Below are 26,335 nucleotides of genomic sequence, written 5' to 3' on the forward strand. Positions count from 1 at the left end.
TTTTTTTTTTTTTTTTTTTTAAATAGAGATAGGGTTTCACCATATTGGCCAGGCTGGTCTCGAACTTCTGACCTCGTGATCTGCCTGTCATGGACTCCCAAAGTGCTGGGATTATAGGCTTGAGCCACACAGCACCCAGCCCATATGCCCAACTTCTAAGGCCCAACCCGGGATAAGTGAGACTCCTTGTCAGAAAATGATTTTTTGTGTGTTTAATTGACAAATTATAATTGTATGTATTTATGGATATATGATATTTGATATATGCATATATTATAGAATGATTAAATCAAGCTAATTAACATATCACCTCACATGCTTATTTTTGTGTTACATTTAAAATCTGCTTTTAATGATTTTGAAATATACATGACATTGTTTTTAACTATAGTCACTATGCTGTGAAATGGCTCTCAAAGAGTTATTTCTAACAAATTTTATACCTTTTGGTCAACATCTCCCCATCTGTCCCCCATCACCATCCACCCACCTCAGCTTCTGGTAACCACTATTCTACTATCTGCTTCTATTAGTTTGACTTTTTTAGATTCCACATATAAGATTCTGTAGTATTTATTATTTTATTTAGTATAATGTCTTTTGGGCTCACCCACGTTGTCACAAATGACAGAATTTCCTTTTTTTAAGTCTCAGTAGTATTCCATTGTGTATGTATACCATCATCTGTTGGACACTTTAATTGATTTCCTATCATAGCTATTGTGAACAGTGCTGCAGTGAACATGGGAGTACAGAAAACTCTTTGACATACTGATTTCAATTGCTTTGGATATATACTCAGGTGTAAGATGCTGGGACATACGTTAAGTTTTTATTTTTCTTTTTGAGGAATCTCCATAATGTTTTTCATAATGGCTGTACTGATTTACATTCCCATCAACTGCATACAGAGTTCCCTTTCTCCACATCCCCACTAACTTGTTGTCTTTCATCTTTTGGATGGTAGCCATTCAAACAGGTATGAGGTGATATCTCATTGTGGTTTTAATTTGCATTTTCCTGATGTTAAGCATTTCTTCATATACCTATTGGCCATTGGTGTTTGCTTCTGAGAAACCTCAGGCCTTTTATACATTTTTGGATATTTACCCATTATCAGATGTGTGATTTGTATATATTTCCTTCCATTGCATAGGTTGTCTCTTTACTCAGTTACTGTTTTCTTTGCTGTGTAGAAAATTTTTAGTTTGATGCAATAGTATTTGTTTATTTTCACTTTTTTTGCTTATGCTTTTCAGGTCATATCCCAAAAACTATTGCCCACACCAATACTGTGAAGCTTTTCTCCTATGTTTTCTTTTAGTAGTTTTATAGTTTCAGGTCTTATAAAAGTATTTGTTTCTGGTTGATTTTTATAGATAGTATGAGATAAGTGTTTAATTTTATTCTACTGTATGTGGATATCTAGTTTTCCCAACCCCATTAGAGACTTTTTCCCCATTGTATGTTCTTGGTGACTTTGTCAAAAATCAATTGATAGTAATGTGTAGGTTTATTTTGGGCTCTATATCCTGTTCCATTTGTTTGTGTTTCTTTTTTTATGCAAGTACCATGCTATTTTGATAATTATAACTTTGTAATATATTTTGAAATCAGGTAGTGTGAGTCTTACAGCTTTGTTCTTTTTGCTCAAGACTGATTTGGCTTCTTTGTGGTCTTCTGTGATTCCACACAAATTTTAGAATTGCTTTTTATATTTCTGAGAAAATTGTCATTGAAATTTTGATAGGGATTGTAGTAAACATTTAGATTGTTTTGAGTAGTATGGACATTTAACAATATTACTTCTTCCAATACACAAATGTGGGATACCTATTTATGTCTTCAATTTCTTGCATCAATATTTTATAGTTTTCAGAATGTAGAACTTTTATCTTCTTGGTTAAATTTATTTCTATGTATTTTATCCTTTCTTTCAAAAGATATTTTTGATATCACCCTTTAACAAAGACAAATGCTTGCTTTAGCTGCTAACTAATTCAAGAACTTTTCTCTAATTCTATTTAGAAAATTATTGTGATTAGTCTCTGGATAAAATTGCATGTTCTGATCAGGCATCTCAGTCATCTTTATAACAGCTGAATTTTAGTGTTATAGGCAGTCAGCCATTGCTCACTCTGTATTTTGTTTGTGTTAGCCAATTGTAGCTTTATTATCTGTAGAGGATAGAGCTATGTAAGCATGCTATAGACATAACTTTGACTGGCAAGGAGACTAGGTAACAAGTGCTGCGTAGCATTCCCTCTCTGAAACTTCTACAAAGGATTAGATCTTGGAAACAGAAACAGTTCCAAGAGATGGGGCCTGATCTGGTGTTCTTGGTAGGCAATGTGAAGAAATTGAAATTTTTTAAGCAAGAGAATAATATGATCTGAGCTGAACACTGCAGAAAGCAATTTGGCAATAGTGTCAAAGTTGTATTAGAAGGAAAATATAAATTATTTAAATAGACCAAGTACAAAGCAGTAAAAACCAGCAGGAGGCATCAAAAAGGCAATGAAGAGATTTAACAGACAGAGGTAGAATGCACAAGACACTGTTACTAACTGGAAGGGAAGAAATGGTAAGGGAGTAAAAACTAAGTTTTCAAGTTTCAGTGGCTGAGAAAATAGTTTTTAGACAGAGGCATTCAGGAGAAGAATGTAGTTTTTGTGGTGGAAGCATTCAAAATTGGGTTTGTACTCAACAGGGAATATACACAAATATGTCCAGAACAAAGAAAAATTAGATATAACTTATGAAAGAGAGATGAAAATCAGATTCAGAGGCACTGACTTGGTTTATATGTACAAGATGAAAAATCCCGACTGCAAAAGTTATAGTGAATCTCTTATTAGGAAACATGTTTGTATTTGGGAAAGAAACAGCAGGTGGTTATTGCAGATATCTAAAAATATTCACTTTCAAACAAATCTTTCCTACTTATTAAAACTATAAACACGATGCTTAATTTTTAAGGGTAATATTGGGATAAGAAACAAAGAAAAATATAAATGGGACTAATATGCAAGTTTTGGGAAGTTCTTAGGTTACTTTTAGTTTAAAATAACTTAGAAAAGTAAAAATAAATTACCCTCAGGTTTCACATATTGATGCCCATTATGCTTACTTATATCAGCAAATCAATTTATAGCTTTGAGTTCAAGTCTGTTGAATCAAAGTAGGAACATTCACAATGAAAATATCTACAGATATTCTTATATTTTAAATCAAGCACACATGAAGAATTGCAAAATATGTATTTTAGCATTTTCAGCCAAAAGTTCAATTTTTTTATTTTATTTTATATTATACTTTAAGTTTTAGGGTACATGTGCACAATGTGCAGGTTAGTTACATATGTATACATGTGCCATGCTGGTGTGCTGCACCCATTAACTCGTCATTTAGCATTAGGTATAACTCCCAATGCTATCCCTCCCCTCTCCCCCAACCCCATAACAGTCCCCAGAGTGTGATGTTCCCCCTTCTGTGTGCATGTGTACTCATTGTTCAATTCCCACCTATAAGTGAGAATATGCAGTGTTTGGTTTTTTGTTCTGGCGATAGTTTACTGAGAATGATGATTTCCAATTTCATCCATGTCCCTACAAAGGACATGAACTCATCATTTTTTATGGCTGCATAGTATTCTATGGTGTATATGTGCCACATTTTCTTAATCCAGTCTATCATTGTTGGACATTTGGGTTGGTTCCAAGTCTGCTACTGTGAATAGTGCCGCAATAAACATACATGTGCATGTGTCTTTATAGCAGCATGATTTATAGTCCTTTGGGTATATACCCAGTAATGGGATGGCTGGGTCAAATGGTATTTCTAGTTCTAGATCCCTGAGGAATCGCCACACTGACTTCCACAATGGTTGAACTAGTTTACAGTCCCACCAACAGTGGAAAAGTGTTCCTATTTCTCCACATCCTCTCCAGCACCTGTTGTTTCCTGACTTTTTAATGATTGCCATTCTAACTGGTGTGAGATGGTATCTCATTGTGGTTTTGATTTGCATTTCTCTGATGCCAGTGATGGTGAGCATTTTTTCATGTGTTTTTTGGCTGCATAAATGTCTTCTTTTGAGAAGTGTCTGTTCATATCCTTTGCCCACTTTTTGATGGGGTTGTTTGTTTTTTTCTTGTAAATTTGTTTGAGTTCATTGTAGATTCTGGATATTAGCCCTTTGTCAGATGAGTAGGTTGCGAAAATTTTCTCCCATTCTGTAGGTTGCCTGTTCACTCAGATGGTAGTTTCTTTTGCTGTGCAGAAGCTCTTTAGTTTAATTAGATCCCATTTGTCAATTTTGGCTTTTGTTGCCATTGCTTTTGGTGTTGTAGACATGAAGTCCTTGTCCATGCCTATGTCCTCAATGGTAATGCCTAGGTTTTCTTCTAGGGTTTTTACGGTTTTAGGTCTAACGTTTAAGTCTTTAATCCATCTTGAATTGATTTTTGTATAAGGTGTAAGGAAGGGATCCAGTTTCAGCTTTCTATATATGGCTAGCCAGTTTTCCCAGCACCATTTATTAAATAGGGAATCCTTTCCCATTGCTTGTTTCTCTCAGGTTTGTCAAGGATCAGATAGTTGTAGATATGCTGCATTATTTCTGAGGGCTCTGTTCTGTTCCATTGATCTATATCTCTGTTTTGGTACCAGTACCATGCTGTTTTATTTACTGTAGCCTTGTAGTATAGCTTGAAGTCAGGTACTGTGGTGCCTCCAGCTTTGTTCTTTTGGCTTAGGATTGACTTGGCGATGCGGGCTCTTTTTTGGTTCCATATGAACTTTAAAGAAGTTTTTTCCAATTCTGTGAAGAAAGTCATTGGTAGCTTGATGGGGACGGCATTGAATCTATAAATTACCTTGGGCAGTATGGCCATTTTCATGATATTGATTCTTCCTACCCATGAGCATGGAATGTTCTTCCATTTGTTTGTATCCTCTTTTATTTCATTGAGCAGTGGTTTGTAGTTCTCCTTGAAGAGGTCCTTCACATCCCTTGTAAGTTGGATTCCTAGGTATTTTATTCTCTTTGAAGCAATTGTGAATGTGAGTTCACTCATGATTTGGCTCTCTGTTTGTCTGTTATTGGTGTATAAGAATGCTTGTGATTTTTTTACATTGATTTTGTATCCTGAGACTTTGCTGAAGTTGCTTATCAGCTTAAGGAGATTTTGAAAAGCACTAAACATGGAAAGGAACCACCGGTACCAGCCACTGCAAAATCATGCCAAATGGTAAAGACCATTGATGTTAGGAAGAAACTGCATCAACTAACGAGCAAAATAACCAGCTAACATCATAATGACAGGATCAAATTCACACATAACAATATTACCTTTAAATGTCAATGGACTAAATGCTCCAATTAAAAGACACAGACTGGAAAACTGGATAAAGAGTCAAGACCCATCAGGGTGCTGTATTCAGGAAACCCATCTCTCGTGCAGAGACACACATAGGCTCAAAATAAAAGGATGGAGGAAGATCTACCAAGCAAATGGAAAACAAAAAAAGGCAGGGGTTGCAATCCTAGTCTCTGATAAAACAGACTTTAAACCAACAAAGATTGAAAGAGACAAAGAAGGCCATTACATAATGGTAAAGGGATCAATTCAACAAGAAGAGCTAATTATCCTAAATATATATGCACCCAATACAGGAGCACCAAGATTCATAAAGCAAGTCCTGAGTGACCTACAAAGAGACTTAGACTCCCACACAATAATAATGGGAGACTTTAACACCCTACTGTCAACATTAGACAGCTCAACGAGACAGAAAGTTAACAAGGATACCCAGGAATTGAACTCAGCTCTGCACCAAGCGGACCTAATAGACATCTACAGAACTCTCCACCCCAAATCAACAGAATATACATTTTTTTCAGCACCACACCACACCTATTCCAAAATTGAACACATAGTTGGAAGTAAAGCACTCCTCAGCAAATGTAAAAGATCAGAAATTATAACAAACTATCTCTCAGACCACAGTGCAATCAAACTAGAACTCAGGATTAAGAAACTCACTCAAAACCACTCAACTACATGGAAACTGAACAACCTGCTCCTGAGTGACTACTGGGTACATAATGAAATGAAGGCAGAAATAAAGATGTTCTTTGAAACCAATGAGAACAAAGACACAACATAACAGAATCTCTGGGACACATTCAAAGCAGTGTGTAGAGGGAAATTTATAGCACTAAATGCCCACAAGAGAAAGCAGGAAAGATCCAAAATTGACACCCTAACATCACAATTAAAAGAACTAGAAAAGCAAGAGCAAACACATTCAAAAGCTAGCAGAAGGCAAGAAATAACTAAAATCAGAGCAGAACTGAAGGAAATAGAGACACAAAAAACCCTTCAAAAATTAATGAATCCAGGAGCTGGTTTTTTGAAAGGATCAACCAAATTGATAGACTGCTAGCAAGATTAATAAAGAAGAAAAGAGAGAAGAATCAAATAGACACAATAAAAAATGATAAAGGAGATATCACCACCAATCCCACAGAAATACAAACTACCATCAGAGAATACTACAAACACCTCTATGCAAATAAACTAGAAAATCTAGAAGAAATGGATAAATTCCTCGACACATACACCCTCCCAAGACTAAACCAGGAAGAAGTGGAATCTTTGAATAGACCAATAACAGGCTCTGAAATTGTGGCAATAATCAATAGCTTACCAACCAAAAAGAGTCCAGGACCAGATGGATTCACAGCCGAATTCTACCAGAGGTACAAGGAGGAACTGGTACCATTCCTTCTGAAACTATTCCAATCAATAGAAAATGAGGGAATCCTCCCTAACTCATTTTATGAGGCCAGCAACATCCTGATACCAAAGCTGGGCAGAGACACAACCAAAAAAAGAGAATTTTAGACCAATATCCTTGATGAACATTGATGCAAAAATCATCAATAAAATACTGGCAAGCCAAATCCAGCAGCACATCAAAAAGCTTATCCACCATGATCAAGTGGACTTCATCCCTGGGATGCAAGGCTGGTTCAATATACGCAAATCAATAAATGTAATCCAGCATATAAACAGAACCAAAAAACAAAAACCACATGATTATCTCAGTAGATGCAGAAAAGGCCTTTGACAAAATTCAACAATCCTTCATGCTAAAAACTCTCAATAAATTAGGTATTGATGGGACATATCTCAAAATAATAAGAGCTATCTATGACAAACCCACAGCCAATATCATACGGAATGGGCAAAAACTGGAAGCATTTCCTTTGAAAACTGGCACAAGACAGGAATGCCCTCTCTCACCACTCCTATTCAACATAGTGTTGGAAGTTCTGGCCAGGGCGATCAGGCAGGAGAAGGAAATAAAGGGTATTCAATTAGGAAAAGAGGAAGTCAAATTGTCCCTGTTTGCAGATGACATGATTGTATATCTAGAAAACCCCATTGTCTCAGCCCAAAAAGTTCAATGTTTATAGGCCTCAGGCAAATGCTCAATGCCTTCCCAAAGTATTAGGAATACAGTCAAGAAGGAAATTCACTCTCCATTGGAGGTTACTAAATCAACACTTGTTATATGAAATTCCTCATCTATTTCTACTGCTTAGAAAATTGAAAGACTAATCTTAATGTGAAAGCTCAATATAAAAACTACGTGTTATTTATGAAGCAGAAATTATGGTAAATAGGGCAAATCAAAGAGCAGTTATCAATCATGACTTACTTTAGCAATCTAGACTAATTTAAAATACAAAAATGTTGAATAAAAATATTTTATAATTGAAGGGATAGTCCTAAGAGATTATTTATACCAAAAGATATATGACTGAATTCTGGGAAGACATAAAAGAAGCTTGAGTTATTCTATAATTGTTTATTTAAACTTTATTTTTAAAAACTTGTGGTACCATAGTAATATCATACACCAGATATCAACACACTATTTCTCATTGGTTTTGAATTTATACTTTGAAGGTAATTCAATTTAGAGAGGAACTTGGGACAAAATAGCTTCTGGTTGTGTATTTAATTGAAGAATATGAAGAAATTTCAAATTCAGGTTTAAAATTGTAATCACACAGTAGAGAATAGCAAGCTTAATACTGGATCCCCTACAAACAAGATGGCTAAATGTAAGTTGTTTAACAATTTTAAGGGCATACGAAATAATAAATGTAAAGGGCAAATAAACAAAATAGAAAATAACAAATGATAAAGCTATAATAAAGTGGTGGCATATCTTTAACTCCCAGTTTAAAATATTTTCATACTCTTCAAAACTGATTTTTAATCTAAGAGACTGACTTTATAAATACTATCTTATAAATTGTACATATGGAATTTAAATATACAAATTTTGCATTTCATTTTAAACACATAAGCCTTTCCACCTATAGGTATTTGATCAGGAGTATCCAATGACAATATTTTATGTATCTCTATTTCACATTATACCATAAACCACCAGTGCCCTTGTTACCACTGGAAACAGAACCATTATTACCTTTAAACCTAACTACATTAGAGAATCATTTCCCAAAACCCCAGAATTCTGAAAACTTACCTTTAAGATCCTGTTCTTGTAGAGCTACTCTTAGAAACAAAATCTGTATCGGTCAGGATTCTACCAGAGAAACACATATAATATATACACACAAATATGCATATACAGAGAGAGAGAGAGATTTATTTCACGGCATTGGTTTATGCAATTGTGGGGTCTGGCTTAGCAAGTCTGAAATCTGTAGAACAGAACGGCATGCTACAAGTTCTCAGGCAGGTGTTAATGTTCAAGTCCACAAGTGATGTTTCTTCTTATTCAGAGACATTTCAATTTTATTCTTAAAATCTTTCAACTGATAATATAAAGTGCACCCAGATTACCAGTGATAATATCCTTTCCTTAAAGTTAATTGGTTATAAACGTTGGCCACATCTACTCAATACATACAAAAAACACTTAAATTAGTGTTTGGTTAAATAACTCAGGCATATAGCCAAACCAAGGTGACACATAAAACAAACTATCACAGGCAGTGAAATGAACAAATTAAGAACAAATGGGACAAATAGAGAAAAAATAATATGGTAGACTGAAATCCAACCTAGTAAGAATTACATTCTATGTTTTTTACTTTTATGTTTCAGACTTTTTGTCTAAACACAAATTAAAAGATAAATATTGTCAGGCTTGATGTAAAATAAGACCAAACTATATGCTATCTATAAGAGACAGCTTTTAAAAAATTCTTTTATTGTTTACAGACAAGGCCTTACTCTGTTACCCAGACTGGTGTGCAGTGGCACAATCATAGCTCAATGCAACCTCTTGGGCTCAAGTGATCCTTCTGCCCCAGTCTCCTAAGTAGCTAGAACTACAGGTGTCTACCACCATACCTGGCTAATTTTTTGAATTGTTTTTGTAGAGATGGAGTCTCACTATGTTGCCAGACTGATATTGAACTCCTAGCCTCAAGTGATCCTCCTGTCTCGGCCTACCAAAACACTGGGATAACAGGATTTGGGATACAGGATTGCATACCTAGTCTATAAAAGACAACTTTAAGGAAAAACCAGAGATAAGTTAGAAGTCAAAGAAAAGACACCGTTTATCATGCAAATTCAGATAACAAGAAAGTTAGAGAAGTTATATTAATTTAAGATAAAATGGGCTTCAGGAGAAAGATTACCAAAGATAAAAAGGGGCATTTCATGATAAAAGTGTAAATTCATCAAGAAAACATATCGAGCCTATATATGTATGCAACTAGTAACAGAACTTAAAAATAATGACTAGAACTGGAAAGAGAAAAATGGATAGCTGCACAATTACAATAATACTTCAGAACTGATTTTGCAAAATTGATAAAACAGGTAGAGAAAAAGGATAAAAAACACTTAATAACAAACTTGACCTGATTGATAATCACAGTACAGTACACCAAAAACTACAAAATATGCATGATTTGCAGAAACAAAACAGTCTAATAAATTTACAAAAGTGGAACTGATACAAAAATATATTCTGAGACTACAATGTAATTAAATTAAAAATTCATAACTAAGATATACTAAGAAAATCCCTAAAATTGTATGTTAAACAAGCATAGTTTAAAATTACACATGTATTAAAGAATTTGCAAAGGATAATAAAAATATTTTAGTTGAATCAAAATGAAAATGCAAAATACAAAATTTCTGGGATGTAGCAAAAAGTGTTAAAAAAATGGATAGTTCAAGAAAAGTTCAAATTCAATGACCTGATCTTTCACTTTATAAAAGTAAAAAAAAAAAAGAAGAATGTTGCCAAAATGAATAGAAGAAATAAGATAGGAACCAAAAAAAAAAAAAAAGAAAGTATATCAACAATAGAAAAAAAAGTCAACAAAGAAAAAAATTCTCTAGCTAGCTTAAGAGAAAACACACATCAACAATATCTGGAATGAAAGTGGGAACATTTCATCCTATAAACCTTAAAAAATATAAAATAATATTATGAACAACCTCATTTTAATAAATTCAATGCATAAGATGAAATGTAAAAACACCCTAAAAGACAAAAATCACTGACACTATTACAAGAAAAAAATGTAAAATTCTGAAAGTAATGCATTAATTAAATAAATTAAATTTGCAATTGAAAACTTCTCCACAAAAAAACTTCATGATTAGATGTTTTTACTGGTAAGAACTACTAAACATTTAAGAAAAAAATGTTACAACAGCTATAGCAACTCTTCCAGAAAGTATAGGAAAATAATAATTTCCATTTCATTTTATAAAGCCAGAAATACCCTGCTAACAAAACTAAAAGCATTATAAATATTTAAAAAAAAGAAAAAAAGAAACAAAATGCTATAGCCTCAAATCTTTTGTAAACAGAAACACAGAAAATGTTTTAAAAATATTTGCAGATTGAATCCAGCAAATATAGAAAGGATAAAACATAATGCTCAAGTGGGTTTTGAAGATTTGAGGTTGGTTTACCATGCAAAAAAAAAAAATTCTTTTATACAATCTTGACAGAAAAAAAATAGAGAAACCATGTGATTAACTCAACAGATAATGAAATGGCATTTGAAAATATGCAACACTTATTGATAAAAATTTTCCAGCATACTAGGAATAGAAATTCTTCACCTACAAAAAGGCATCTACAGGTAACTTACAATTCACATTATACTTGCCAGGGAGACACTTCGTGCTTTTCTCAATAGGAGTGGAGTGAGTTTTCTAGTTTCTTGTTCTAGCACAAAAACACTCTTAGTTCTCTATCCAGGCAACACACATCCTTTATTTTTATAATATCCTAATTATAATGAAGGACATTTAATTATAATGGAGCATTTCCTTCATGCTAGCAGGCAATTAGAAGTAACAGAAACAGAAAACTAGAGCTGGATTCAAGAAAATCAACTCTTTTATTTTGGTGGTCATAACTTTTTGTCCTTCATGTTCTAGATATTTTCATTAGAAATATACGGAGTTTGTTCCTGTCCTTGCTGATATCCTAGGAGGATTCTGCAGAGCATTTGCATAAACCACTTTGCCTCATTCAGAAGACAAGGATTTTTACAGAGAAAACATTATTATTGTTTCCTTTATAGTACAAGCCATGTCACATGATAAGTTCTGCTTCCCAAAGGATTGTCTATTAAAAGGGGAATGAATTTCACTTGAGCAGGAACACAGGAAAGGCCTCTCAGTAAATACTGCTTTGAAATTCTGCCCTTAGTGATCATATAATTTTGCTGCATTTTCCCACTTTAAAGCTAGCATTGTAACGTTTCTTATAAACTGACACTCTTTTGCCAGTGCCAAAATTACTTTGCAGAATCAAGTCATACAATACAGTGAAATCATATCTGGTAAATAGTTTTGCGTATAACTAATTTACTTTCAATGTGACTGGTAGACACAGAGCATTTTCTATTTTCCTAGTCAAGGGTAAGAAACAGTTTTTAACATTAAGTGTGACAAGCATGTGAGAGGTTAGAAATGGCAGCAGTGGACTCTTTCCCCTCCCTGTCACTTACTGCACACTGAACTAATCTCAGCGTAAACAAAACGCACACCAAAACAAGGGACTCTGGACACAAAAATAAATGAGCTTTAAAGAGATATTTTGGGAAGAAAATGTGATTTCCACATGATTTCTAAAATCCCAAAGTGTTAATTAACATTGACATCTCAACACAAGTAGAAATCAACTTGACTGGCCGGGCGCGGTGGCTCACGCCTGTAGTCCCAGCACTTTGGGAGGCCGAGGCGGGCGGATCACGAGGTCAGGAGATCGAGACCATCCCGGCTAAAACGGTGAAACCCCGTCTCTACTAAAAATACAAAAAATTAGCCGGGCGTAGTGGCGGGCGCCTGTAGTCCCAGCTACTTGGGAGGCTGAGGCAGGAGAATGGCGTTAACCCGGGAGGCGGAGCTTGCAGTGAGCCGAGATCCCGCCACTGCAGTCCAGCCTGGGCGACAGAGCGAGACTCCGTCTCAAAAAAAAAAAAAAAAAAAAAAAAAAAAGAAATCAACTTGACTGACAACACTCAAGCCCCATTGATGTAATAGTTGCAAACGTCCAACCGATTAATATAAAGCATGTAAAATGTATGCATTGCTAAGCTTTCTCTGATTTAGTTTATATGTCATTTGGTTTAAAAGGTTGTAACACTGACAGACACAAAAATGTTATGAGAAAGGAGATGCTGTTGTTATGATTCACAGATTTCATTTTATATTTGGATTAGAAAAATAAGTGACATTCTGTTGTCAGGTGGTGAATGGTGTTCTTCCACAAACAGGAAATATTGAACAAGAAGGGGAGGGAACAGAAAAGAAAAAGACACCATGAGCATCAGTTCCACATGCTTCTGGGGAAAAAATAAACCAGTTGTTGGGCTATCTCATTTCTATCCTGTAACATAAATTTTTCACAATCAAACACATATTGATATTCACTTGCTCTCTCTGTCAATGTCCAGGGACAGAAAAGTGTTGCTCAATTAAATTCCCATTGACTTTTATTAGAAATCTAACAGATACCAGAGGTTTCTACATATCAGACAAATTAGTTTAAAAAATCTAGTAGAAATGAAAACTACAAATATTTGAAGTTCTAAGTCATGCTTCTCATACTTTAGCATGCCTGGGAATCACCTCAAGGGCTTACTAAAACAAAGACTCCTAGGGACCAGGTCTAGATTGGGCCATGAGAATGTGCATTTCTGAAAAGCTCCCATGTGATACTGATGCTGCCAGTTTGCAGATGATGCTGAGTAACACTGCTCTTGTCATCACCTGATAATATGTATGCCCGGGCAGATTAAATGAATACCTATATTAAATTCTATTACTATTAAAAAGCCAGATAGGTTCAGCCTATAAATTTTTAGCAAAGTTGTCTTTTCTTATACAGCTATCAGAGACAACTAGGAAAGCTGGAAACTATTTTTCAGGTTCACAGCCCTAATCAAGGATCTCTGTCTTTATAAAGTACTTAGATGGTAGAACAATGGGCTTCATCAGAAAGATGACCATTACAAAAAGTGAGAAAAACATCAAGTGTTACATAAAATGTTTATCTCATAGTCACCAATTTCACAGCTGCATATCTATATCTAGATTTGTTAAATTTGCCCCTTCTGACAAAACAGTGTACTGGTCTTGATTCCATTATCATAAGTGCAGAGGCTGAGAGGTGGAGTCAGGATTGTGATATAATCAAGACATCTCAAAATCTAAACTACAGCTTTTTATAATAATTTTAAAGTGATTATTCTGAAATTTCTATATGAACTTTGACATTTATCCATTTATTCATCATAGCAATCTGAGTCTAATCAGGAGCTAGAAATCCACAGTAGGCTATACAGGGGAAGTTTAATATAAATTATTATGTATAACAAAAGTGTAATTATAAGGAAACTCTATATGGTACCCTGGGGCTGAGGGAGAGTACTCAAGGAAGGACAAATCAGACCTTTTGGAAGTATGGTTCAGCCACAAGATAGCAGAGAAATTCACTGGTTTAACCAGGCCAGAGTTAGTCTGAAGTTACTGAGTGAGCAATAGCCTACTTTCCAGGATTCAGAAAATCAGCAATTGATGGCATGAGCATGCAGTGGAAGTTCTGGTACCAACAGGGACAAATGGCCTTCAGAGAGTGCAGGCCACATGAAGACTTATAGGAGTAGCACTGAGGTACATCTCCCTCTTTGCAACAGGCAGCTGTGAGCAAGTTGCATGGTACTTACAGAGAGTCTAAGTGGCGCTTGCTTGAACAGGAGACTGTCAGAGTGCACACTGTGCAGAGGCTCTGATTTCTGTGTCCAGGGCACTACAGAATGGTTATCTCCAGACTAACATCATGAGCTCCCATTTGAACCATATTTTGGGACCGACTGGGACAGTGCTTCATCTAATGTTGTAATATTCATACCCTCCCCTTCCTATACAGCATTTGTTTGTAAAGGAACACCATTCCCCACCTGACAACAAAAATGTCACTTACCTTTCCTAATCCAAATATAAATTGTAATGTGGGAATCCTAAAAATGACATCTCCTTTCCTATAACATTTTAGCGTCTGTCAATGTTATAACCTTTTAAACCTATAAACAAAATCAGGGAAAGTTTAGTGATGCATACATTTCACATGCGTATGTATATTAATATGCTGGGTACTTGGGACTGTTACTTTGAGAAAGCTTGAGTGTTGTTATTCAACTTGATTGTTGCTTATTTCATTGATTTTTCTCTATCTTAATATAGTTATTTCTTTTATTGTTACTTGGTATTGTGTACCTCATTCCACTTTTTTGGATTAAATGTACTTTTTGTTTTTTTAGTTTAAGGTGTTAGAAACTTAGATCACTGGACTCAAACTTCTAAGTACCTAAAGCATAAATTTTCTTTGAAATATTGCTTTTACTGCAACTTACAAATTTTAGTAGGTTGTGTTTTGATTTTCACACCATTTCAAATATATTCTAATTTCCTTGTAATTTTCTCTTTGACCTATGGGTTGTTTGAAAATGTTACGCGAAGTTCTGAAATATTTGAGCTTTTCAGATATATTTTAATTGATTTCTAATTTAATATTTTTATTTTCAGAGAACACTCTGAATAATTTCAATTCCTTTAAATTAATTGAGACTTTTACAGCCAAGCATATGGTCTATCTTTGTAATGTTCCATTTGCATTTGAAGGTAATATGCATTCTGTAATAACTGGGTGTACTGGTCTATAAATGTTAATTAGGTTACATTAGTTGAAAATGTCCTTCAAGTATTCTACTTCCCAGTTTTGTGGTTTTTACTTGTTTTGTTACTGACAGAAGAGTATTAAAATCACCAACTTTAATTGTGAATTTATCTATTTCTCCTTTCTGGTTTATAAGTGTTTGCTTTAAGTGTTTTACAGTTTTTTTTTTTGTGAATACATATTTAGGCTATTATGTTCCTGATTAATTTGCTTTTTTATCATTGGGAAATGTCATCTTTATCTTTGGTAATATTCCTTGCACTAAAATTAATTTTGTCTCATATGAATATAAGCATTTAAGCTTTCTTATTAGAGTTTGTACATTATATCATTTTCCATCCCTTTAGTTTTAAATCATCTATCTTTATAATTAAAATATGTTTTCTGTAGAGAGTATATAGTCTGGCATTGCTTTGTTTTATACATCATTTTTGTGGATTACTACCTTATAATTGGTATATCTAATTCATATACATTTAACGTAATTATTGATATAGTTGAATTTAAGTCTTTGTCATTGATTTTCTATTTTTCTCATAGAATATTTTCTTTTATAATTTAAATTAATTGAATATTTGGAATATTAAATAATATATTCTCTTCGGCTTTCTTTTCATTATTTATTTTTTTACAAGGTGATCCATTGGGCAAATAGGCATCTAACTTATCACAGTCCCTGGACGCATCCATTTTGCAATGATTGTCATAAATTTTACTTCTCTGTATGTTAGAAAGCCCTTTTTTTTTTTTTTTGCATTCACCAACATGTTTACCATTTGTATAGATCTTCTGTGTAGATCCATCTACTTTATCTTAACTCCTTTGTCATGGCCTGAATTATCTTTGGAATTTCCTGAGTTAATTAAAAGGCCTCTCTTCTGACTGGCTAGACTTGAGGGGCTCTCAGCCTTGTTCCAAGTCTGATAATTATTTAGTTTGTAGGATCCCTCATGGTGGTTCTTTCTCATTTCTGTTTCTTTGTATGGGCCTGTAAAATCTTATCCTTTCCGTGTATAACTTAGTACTCAGTAAAAAACTCAAGGAGATCCCTATGCAGATTTCTGGAGTTATTTTTCTCCATAGTTTAAACAAAAACTGAAGCTGAACTCTACCTACCACTACCAAAAAAAAAAAAAAAAAAAAGGCTAGGCTAACTATTTAAATTTAGTTAATCCACACTTAATTTGTTTACTCTTTCTTCAGCATCTTTTCTATCAAATAAATCAGGAGTATGAGTAAGGGGGCCACGGCAGTAAACCAGGTGATGGACAACAGTCTTGTAGTAGGTGATAGTGATGGAGACGAGAAGTGGTTGAATTTGGACTATTATTTAAAGGTATTACAAAATTTGTTTAGAGAGGAAACATGAATTATTACAGATCATGAAGAGTCAAAACAGACTCTAGGCTTTCTTGGCCTGATTAATTGGTAGATTCACGGTATCATCTATGAGGGAAAGCATCATGGGAGAAGCAGGTTTGAAAAGTGGAAGACATGAATATGATTTTGGAGGACATAAGTTTAGTGAACCAATGAAGAGTAGAAGCTGGAAGTATAAGAAACACAGCAGGAGCAATATCCAGGAATAGTAAGTGGCAAGAAGGTGGAGGGAATAAACTTAGACAATCATTTAATAGGTAAGAAAAGAGAGTGTGGAGATACAGAAACAATAAGTTGATAAATTTGATGCAGAAGTTTGTGTAAGTTTTCTTATGATCACTACTATTTTACTAACGTCAGGAAGGAAGAGGAGGTGATTTTAAAGTCGATTAGGGGTTTTCCAGGAATTCCAGGTGAAAGAAGATAATTCTGGCTAAAGACATGGCCCACAAATGCCCTAAGTATGAAATATTATCACTTGCTGGATTTACAAAGGCATGCTCTAACGTAAAGGCAATGTTGACTTAGTTAGATATTCTTAAATTCTCTAAAGATCTAAATTGACTTTAAAGTAACTTTGAAACAAAAATTTTTAAAGATTAAAATTGATGTATCTTTTTAGCTATTCTTATGATAGGTAAGTTTTGTTTTTATAGAAAATGTAAATAATGCAAACTGAGCTTCCTTATAATTACTAATCAGAATACAGAGTCATCCTGTAGAGAAACACTTTGGGATTTCAGGAAATTAACCGATTTATAAACTTTGGAAAATTTATAAAGGTGGAAATGTCTTTTATTCCTTAATAGGTTGCTAGAGAATAAAACAGGAGTCTAAAAATTCTCCAAACACCCTCCTGTACAATTTCTGAAGGTGAATTCATGACCTAAGGAAAATGGGAGAAGAATACAAATGTTGCCCTGTCAGTAATGAAATTAAAACAGATGAAACAAAGACTGTCTCCTGACTCTTTTTTATTCGGGTAAGAAGGTTAACATGAAGATCCAGGCCAAGATGAAAGATAATGAACAATCATAATTAGAAATCTATTTGATATATTTTCTTTACTTTGATTCTGTTTAAAAGGAATAATGATTCATAATATATTCAGAGACTGGGTTTTTGCTGCTAGCTTATGATTCCATAAGGAATTAACTTATGATGGCAGCATAGCCTACAGAGCTGCTGGTACCCTATTTGCTGGTTTCTTTGAGATTTTGCTTTTTTCTTCCTTATTTTTTAAATAAAATAAAAGTGTACATGCTCAAGGATTTTTAAATTACATATAACCTTCAGATTTTCATTTCAGCATTTGTATTTATGAAATAATTGTTTTATGTGTGTGGTGAGTTACACAAAGATAAGTGAAATTAAACAGAGTACATTTTTGTGAAAGCATATGTTTGGGGACTGGGAAGTCAACAAGCTCCCTGAAGTGAACAAAGCCTCCAGGATAACATGGAATGGGTATTTCCCACATTACAACCAATGGAGCAGGGAATGGAAGCAGTTTGCTCAGAAATCAGTTGTAAAGAATAATTATTTCACAACGAGCTACTCTCCATGTCTCAGACATACTTAACAAAACTAAAGAGTATCCAACCCACGCCTAACCTCAATAATATGAAAATAATTATCCATATATACAGAGAATATGATTAAACCTATCCAGATAACTCAAATTAATAGCACATTTCCAGAAACAGGTTGCTGTGGTCTAAATGTGTCCCCCCGGCCAACTCCAAATTCATAAGTTGAAATCTCATCACTAATGTGAAGGTACTAGGAGGTGAGGTCTTTTGTTACAGCAGCACAAACTAAGACACAAATTTGTCTAGATAATCACTTAAATTCTTCACTTCTTTGACATGATTGAAACTGGATTCATAAGATTATACTGGAAAGCAGTGTGCAATAAATTATCTGGGCAATATCAGTAATAACCCAAATTCTTTACAAGGTTGCCCTGAAGACTCCCATAGCCATCCCCCATGCTCCTGTCATCCAGTTTTCTAATATTGTAAGAAGTTCAGAAATAGACTTTTATTCCCAGCTTCCAAAAGTTCTCTATGCCTTTCAAAAAAGATTTTTTAAAACAATAGTTATCCAATAGCCATTGTTGAAAAATCAGTCAATTTATAATAAACCTTGTCTACATTTATCAGATTTAATTTTTTTCCCAGTTACTAGAAAAAGCAGTGATTTTTCCCCCTAACAATCACCACCTCTATGGCATTTGGTCCCAACATGTACCTCCAAATGAACTTTTTCCCAGAATTCTTTTAAGTCATGCTATGATGAGTGATATCTGTAATTAAATCTTATCTTATTCAAACAGTTATCAAAGTCTTTCTCTTAATTTGTATAATATAATTTGTATTTATATGTTATCTATGATTCTATGCTTTCTTAAAATATTAACATATTGACAGATTATTTCAGGTAATAAAATCATAATTTCTTCTTAGAAGTGTAACTGTTTCCCAGCAGAATCTGACTTCTCAATCATATTGGTATTTAGTAACATAGAGCCTTTTTATATAAAATTGACTTTTTATTTTCACTCTGTTCACTTTGCATTTCCAAGTAATTCTAAATGTCCACCCTGCAGGGCTGATTCTGGCCAGGATCCATGGTCTTGACTTTTCCTAAATCAAATATAAGTCTGTATCTATCAAAAGCTGGGAAAATCAAAGGGAAAAGGGACAACAAAAATGAATCCTTAAGGATGTGGTGAATTCTGTAAACCCATTTCTTAGAGTCAAAACCAAAACTTTGGCTTTTGGTTAATAATTATGTTGGAGGAGAAATTTCTGGAGCTTACGCAGTGAGATGATTAGGTTGAGAAGCTGAGGATATTGTAATGGCTATCCAAAATTTGTCTGTGATACAAACAAAACTAATTTTTCTCTGCCTGAACATCTTTCCATTTCTAGTAACCCTCACAATATGTACCAGGCCAATCAAAATACATTCTCTTGTCCAATTGATTCTTAAAAAGAAAACTTATTTATTGGAAAATTAGATTAGAAAATGTCTCTGCATCGCATGTAACTTTCCCTACCTCCTCAGTAAAAAAATAACTGATTTCCTATTAATGGAACTCCATAGGCTTATGGGTCCCACTGATGTAGATAATGAAAATAGCTAATACAAAAAAAATCTTAAAATTAGCCTTGATGCCTGAACATCACTGAGTCCTCAAATTTATTTTCTGAGGAAGCCTCCTGAATTAGGAGAGATTAGGCTTGGTAGTGCTAAAAAAATTATTCTGATACTTGTTAAACTGATAAGGAAGACTTTATTCAAGACTATTGCAATAGGTATCAAGATGATCACAATAGAGAAAATAAATAGAAAAGATAGCTGAGGATCTATAACCAACTAGCGGAGAAAGGGGGATCAATAGATGGAAAATTATTGAGACATTAAGGGTAGAAGAATTCTTTCTAAACTGACTTAAGAGTCTTGCTTAAGACAGGTCAAGGATTTATACATCAAAGGTGGGAGATGAAGAACTTGAACATTTATAGAGGATTATCAGATATCAAAAGTTGAGGGGAGTCTCACTAAACTGACTTAGCAGGATTCTTGCCCAGAAAGAACAGGACAGAAAGGAAGGCCAAGGATGAGACCTACTCAAGAAGAGGACTCGGAGGAACCTAAAGTTGGTCAAGAAGAGAGTCTGTCAATAATATGTTTTAGGGTCCAAAATGACAATACTTCAACAAAATATAGATTCATTTTCCTTTAATCTCAGCCTGGGGCTAAAATAAAGCTTCGTCACTTAAGGAAAACAGGCTGTTTTTAGCGTGTGGCTCTCTCATCCTGAAGACATGGCTTACAATTCATGGTTCAAAATGGCTGCTTGACTTCTAGCAAAGAGGATACACATTCCAGCCAGAAGAAAGAAGAAAAAAGTGAAGAAGTCTACTCTTATTCCATAAGCTTATTTCCTGGAATTCACACATACTTTATCCCCTTATAGTCTCATAATCAGACTATAGCCCAATAAACATTTTCATCTTCAAAAGATGCTAGGGAATATAGAATTTATTTTGACTAGCTGTATCGCCAGCTAAAAGAGATGAGGAATTCTACTATTAAGAAATAGAGGGTGAATATATATTTGGGAAAAGAGTTAATGGATATTTGGAGACAACTAGCTGCTTCTGTTACAAAATCAAAAACAGTGGTAGAGAAAGTGCCTTCAGAACAAGCAAAAGACACCCTCACTAACAGTTCTTTTTCATAAACTCAACAAGAGCTTTATGCATCAAATATTTGCCTTTTTTTTCTGAAAACCTGGAGCAAAGAATATCAACTGAGATGAGAACGGAAGATTCAGTGGTTTACCAAGATAAACTCCACTTCTGTCATCAACAAAGATAAAAGTTTCCTGTTACTGGCTTCGATTTCACTTTAAAATCATGATAAGTGCTTTGATACAATGTCTTCTGTTGCCCCAATAATATTATTTTGTAGAAAATACAAGATGCAGGCACAAGAACAGACTTAAAAATACATTGAATTGAGGGAGGGGAGTATCATCTATTATAAAAAGTCTATCTCATAACTTTTCTTATAATTTCAATGATCTATGCTACTTAACAAAACACTCTGCAAACCTAATGACTTAAATAATAGCCACTACCCTTATTTGATCATTACACATTGCATACCGGTATTAAAATATTACATATAACCCCAAATAAGTACAACTATTATTTATGAATTAAAACCAAACAATAGCCATATTATTTGCCCATGATTCTTTGGTTAATGAAATCAGGCAGGACTCAGCAGTCTTGATTCATCTCTGTTCCATTTGGTTCTGGCTAATGTGGCTATCCTGGGGCAGGAGGATTCAACTTGACCTCACTCCCCTATCAGCCTGCAACTCTGGGGCTGGTTGCGAACTGGGACACCCAAGCTCTCCTCTATCTACATAGTTTCTCTCTCATGTTTTGTCATCTTCTAGGTTCTCTGTATGTACATTTCAGAAGGATAACCCAAACTTCTTCATATAGAAAGCATCTGTGAAGAAAGTGCATATGAAGATGAAAGAATTCTTGACGCATTAAACCAGAATTCAAACAGTATTCTTGCACCATATCTAACTGGTCAAAGCAAACTACTAGGCCAGCCTAGATTTACGGGACAGGAAATAGATTCCACCTCTTGCTGGGAAGAATGGCATATACATGTAAGGTTGGATGCAATTGGTAGTGGGCATTTTTTGCAGATAGTCAGACTTGTAGCCACAATAGTTTATAACCTTATCCCCAGTCAGAATACACTGACTACCTCCTAAAGCGACAAAGTCTCACCCAATTAGTCAGACTTGAGGTCCAGTATCTTGTGATCTACATCAAGTCTGGATGTGACTATGGCTTATCTTGATCTGATAACCTAAAAATAAAAGTTTATTTCTCTTCTCCTGACCCACACAAAGAACATGCAAAGGGCAGTGCAGCTCATCTCTACTGCACATATAAGTGGCTTGAATGGTTCTACCATTGTTGGATTATTCAATATGGCCTCACCTACTTATCTGGGGGACTTGGTGCTAGTTTTGTATTAGGGTATCTTGGTTCTTCTCCTGGTGCCTTTCTCCATCCTGTGATCTCTCACCCTCTAGGGCTTTTCTTTCTCCACATAGCCACATAGGAAGAAGATCCTAGACTTCTTTATAAAAATGCTGGTTTCCAAAAAATAAAATAGAAAACTTACATGAAGCCAAAAAGTCATACGATATCACTTTCACCACATTCTTTCTGTCAAATCAAGTAAAGTCCAGCCCAGACTCAAGAACAGAGGGAGATAAATGCCTCTGCTTGATGGGAGGAACACTGTCAATATATAGAAATGAAAAGAATTGTCAGCAGCCATCTTTGCAGACAACCCACCAAGTTAATCTTCAGGCCTTCATGTTCACTCAAAAAACTCTATATTTTTTTCACTTTTGCCTAAAAGAAGACTTGGGGGGCCTTTTCATCATTTCCTCTTACACATTTTTGACACAACCCAGAACCTCTTTATATACTCTATGTTTGATCAGCACCATATCATTGGGGTTTTTTTTTTTTGCCCCATCCCATATTGATTTACCTATCAAAGAATATTTCAAGACATGTATGCACAATGATTAATATTTTAATATCAAATTCCTGTATAAGAATACTCATTAATGTAAGGTACTAAGACAAAACATGATAGAATAAATAGTGAGGTATATGTAAAAGGAGAGAGCTTCTGAAAATTATTTGCATCCCATTATAGCAGTTTAGGATTATATCTTCCTTAGAGAAATATAGTAGAATACCAAATTACTCAACTTATAGGAATTTCAAACCCATATTTTAATAACTTACTGTAATAGAACATAATAAGGGCATTAAATTGCATTATTGGAACTAAAAAAAGTTATGATGTAAACTTAAGCTACCTTAGTCAGAGTCATGTCCACAGGCCAAGAAGAAAGATTTCCTCTGAATTTTGTTCTGTTCAGAGTACATATGTAATATTTTGCCAAGTCCTAGGATTATATTCAAAAAAGAACACGGATAATGACAAGATGGTCACTGAGGTAATCTTAAAAGAATGTGTTATGATTTTTGCATTTGAATTTATATTACAGAAGAATGAGAAATAAGGTAGTTATATTCTTACTTATAGGCTTATGTAAATAGTAATACTGTGTGTCGTTTCAGAAAGTTAGTGAAAATCAGTGGTAGAAATTTCAAATCAGTATATTGCCTCTCAAATTAAGGAAGCTTTAGACCACCAGAGGCACAAAACAGATTAGACTTCAGGTAATAATTTAATAGTCACAAAAGCTATATTTCTAGTTTGAAAACTGGCATGGCATAGAAATACGTACATATATATGTATGTATACATTATATGTATGTAATACATACATATTATACATATGTATAAATTTGTATGTATGAAATAGTGAATACCCACCTAAAAGGGCAAGATGGGAAAAGAATTCCTCAATGAGCAGTAGGAATGAATAAAAATAATGAGTAAAAATAATGAAAATAATCTCTAAATTATTTCCTAACTTTGTAATCCTATGATTTGCAAAGGAGACAGAGTCTCCTTGTATCCCATCTAAAAATGTTAATCAGTGAAAGAAACAAAAAGGTCATGTTATAAAACCGTCTAATATTCTGCCAGTCTGTGCCTTTGAGGAAATTATAGCACACCACCAGCACAACAGCCATGAAAGGAATGTTGGAATAGTAATGACGTTTTCTTCATACTATCTATCATTTCAATTCTTCTCATGATTTTTTTTCTTTAGATGTGTTTATAATAAGGTGTATGCCTTTTAAAATTTTTATTCCATTTTCATGCTTATTAAAACTCATGTGCTACCAGCCAATGACCATATCTACTTTTCTCTATATTAAGCTAAGTAAAAACCAAATAAATGTTAACTCAAGATTATTTAAGATTATTTTATCTTAGATGATTATTTCAGTTTTTCTATAATGTCATGCATTAAAACTAATATTTCAAGCCTGGATAATTCAATATAAGAAGATGCTTATTATCAATGTATAAACACATATACATTCTCTTTCACACATTATATACATACCGTAATTTCACAGATATGTGATTTCACAGAAGAAATGGATCCTATCTTTCTCCAATCTCTAACATTGAAGATATTAATTTAATAGCAAAAGTGAAATTAACCATACAATATCTCAGAAAAAAAGAGACCCATTAAAGCTCATGAAAGTTTTATTCTGAAATAATTTTTGGAACTACAGGAGTCTGGATTAAAATAAATAAGCATTTGAGAAGTGCCAGCTTCATCTTTCAGATGCACAGTTTTACTTTTGTTGTGGTACATTGTACTTAGGTAGAGATAACTGAGAAATTTTACTTTTATGGGTCAATATTAGAATTCTTGTCCATCATACATGTAGGCATACATAATACTGCTCCTTGGATGCAGAAGATAATAATAATCAATATTTACTCTTATACCTACTATCAATATTTCAAACTGAAATTTCTTGGAGTTAATGTAGGGAAGTTTCTCTTTTCTCCCCTGTGAAAGGATAGCATTTGTAAATACACTTGACAGATCATTGGCAGTGTACCACCTATAAAACTGTCTTTATAGAAGTTATGTTTGCTTTACCAACCAACAATTTATTATTCTTGTCAATAAATTTCCATTAAAATATTTTCCTGAAGTTGAAATTTTCAAAGCAGAATAAAGACTGTTTTATTGACCCATTCATTTATACTATTAAAACTGGTATCTTGACTGGCATGAATCAAATAATCATTTATCGAGTAGAAGAAGCATAAATAGGACATTGCATAATATATATGAAACACTTTAAAAATAAATCAGTGAATTTAAACCTCATTTAAACTATAAATTAGAGCACTCATCATCAAAAATCAGAAAAAGGGGTTATTAAGTAATTTTAGTGTAAGGTTAAAAGCACAGCCTCTGAATATGAGATAAAATAGCTCTGCTTCTTAAAAATTATATAACCCTGGGAAAGTTCATTTCTTTCAGCCTTAGTTGCTTGAAATGTCAATATGAAAGCCAATACTAAACTCTTAGGTCATTATGTGCATTAAATTAGATAATATACATATGTTGCTAAACTCAAAACATGGCAAACAATAAGCTCTCAATACATGGCAACCATTAGTAGTAGCAATTCAAAATTGCACTATTCTCATAACAAGCAAGTAAAATTATCCAGCTAGTTATAAATAGAAAATGAATTGAAATATTGCTAATTTAGGCTAGTTCTCCTGAGATAGTCCATTTTTGCCTAGGTTATCTAAACACAGCATCCATATTTCACTTTACAGTCCTAGCTAATGGCATAATTTTAATAAGCTGTTTCAAATGCACTTACTCAGCTCCACTCCTGAATTCACAGGACAGAGGTCAGTTACAAGGTTATGGTGAGAAACTACCCATGGATTTCAGCTGGATTACCATAATTTGCCTTCATCTCTACAAAAAAAAGTAAAGTACGGATTTTTACCTCCTTCCTTCCTACAGAGAAAATATTGTATCACCCTAAGGAGCCAAAAGAAAAATAAATGTCCTTTTGTCTTTTCTTATTAGCAACTTTAATTTCAGGGTTAAAGAAAGATTGGTTGGGCAAAAAAGACACTCTAAGTAAAATGATTTTAGAAGATATTGAATAAAAAGTATATTTTCCACAAAATATTTAATGACATCATACATAAATCATCACACTAAAACCCAAATTGTAAATCAACTCAGGGGAAGTTACAAAGGTTAGAGCTTAGACAAGTAATAAATGAGGAGAGTATCTTCATTACCTTAAGGGGAGGTGTTGTATCACGACGAAGGTTTTCTGCAGATCTGATTTATTAGTGCTTTCAAGCAAAAATGTACTAAGAATCTTGTTCATAAAATTCTCCAGCTGTTAATTCATGCTGTTCTATTTGCATGGATGCTGTGTGTGTATATTTGATTCCTGACCACAGATTTTCCATTAAAAGTAACATGCAATCTTTTTCCTAAGTAGCAGAGAATCACAGTGATATGGTTTGGCTGTGTCCTCACCTAAATCTCATCTTGAATTGTAGTTTTCATAGTCCCCACATGTGGTGGACGGGAACCAGTGGGAGGTAACTGAATCATGGGGGCAGT

The 26,335-nt window shown here is 34.0% G+C and overlaps 1 long non-coding RNA gene across 1 annotated transcript in view; it reads right to left on the bottom strand.

Moving 5' to 3' along the window:
* The window catches only part of LOC105369881 (uncharacterized), a 58,306-nt gene that overhangs the window by 14,101 nt on the left and 17,870 nt on the right, over positions 1-26,335 (bottom strand). The window contains exons 2-4 of the long non-coding RNA XR_945161.2: positions 25,566-25,666; positions 23,102-23,191; positions 22,200-22,354 (exon numbers count right to left, since the gene is read on the bottom strand). This is a non-coding gene — a long non-coding RNA (uncharacterized LOC105369881). The remainder of the gene's footprint in view (positions 1-22,199; positions 22,355-23,101; positions 23,192-25,565; positions 25,667-26,335) is intronic.

This window comes from Homo sapiens, chromosome 12 (assembly GCF_000001405.40).
Source record: "Homo sapiens chromosome 12, GRCh38.p14 Primary Assembly".
In the NCBI taxonomy this organism is placed as follows: Eukaryota; Metazoa; Chordata; class Mammalia; order Primates; family Hominidae; genus Homo; species Homo sapiens.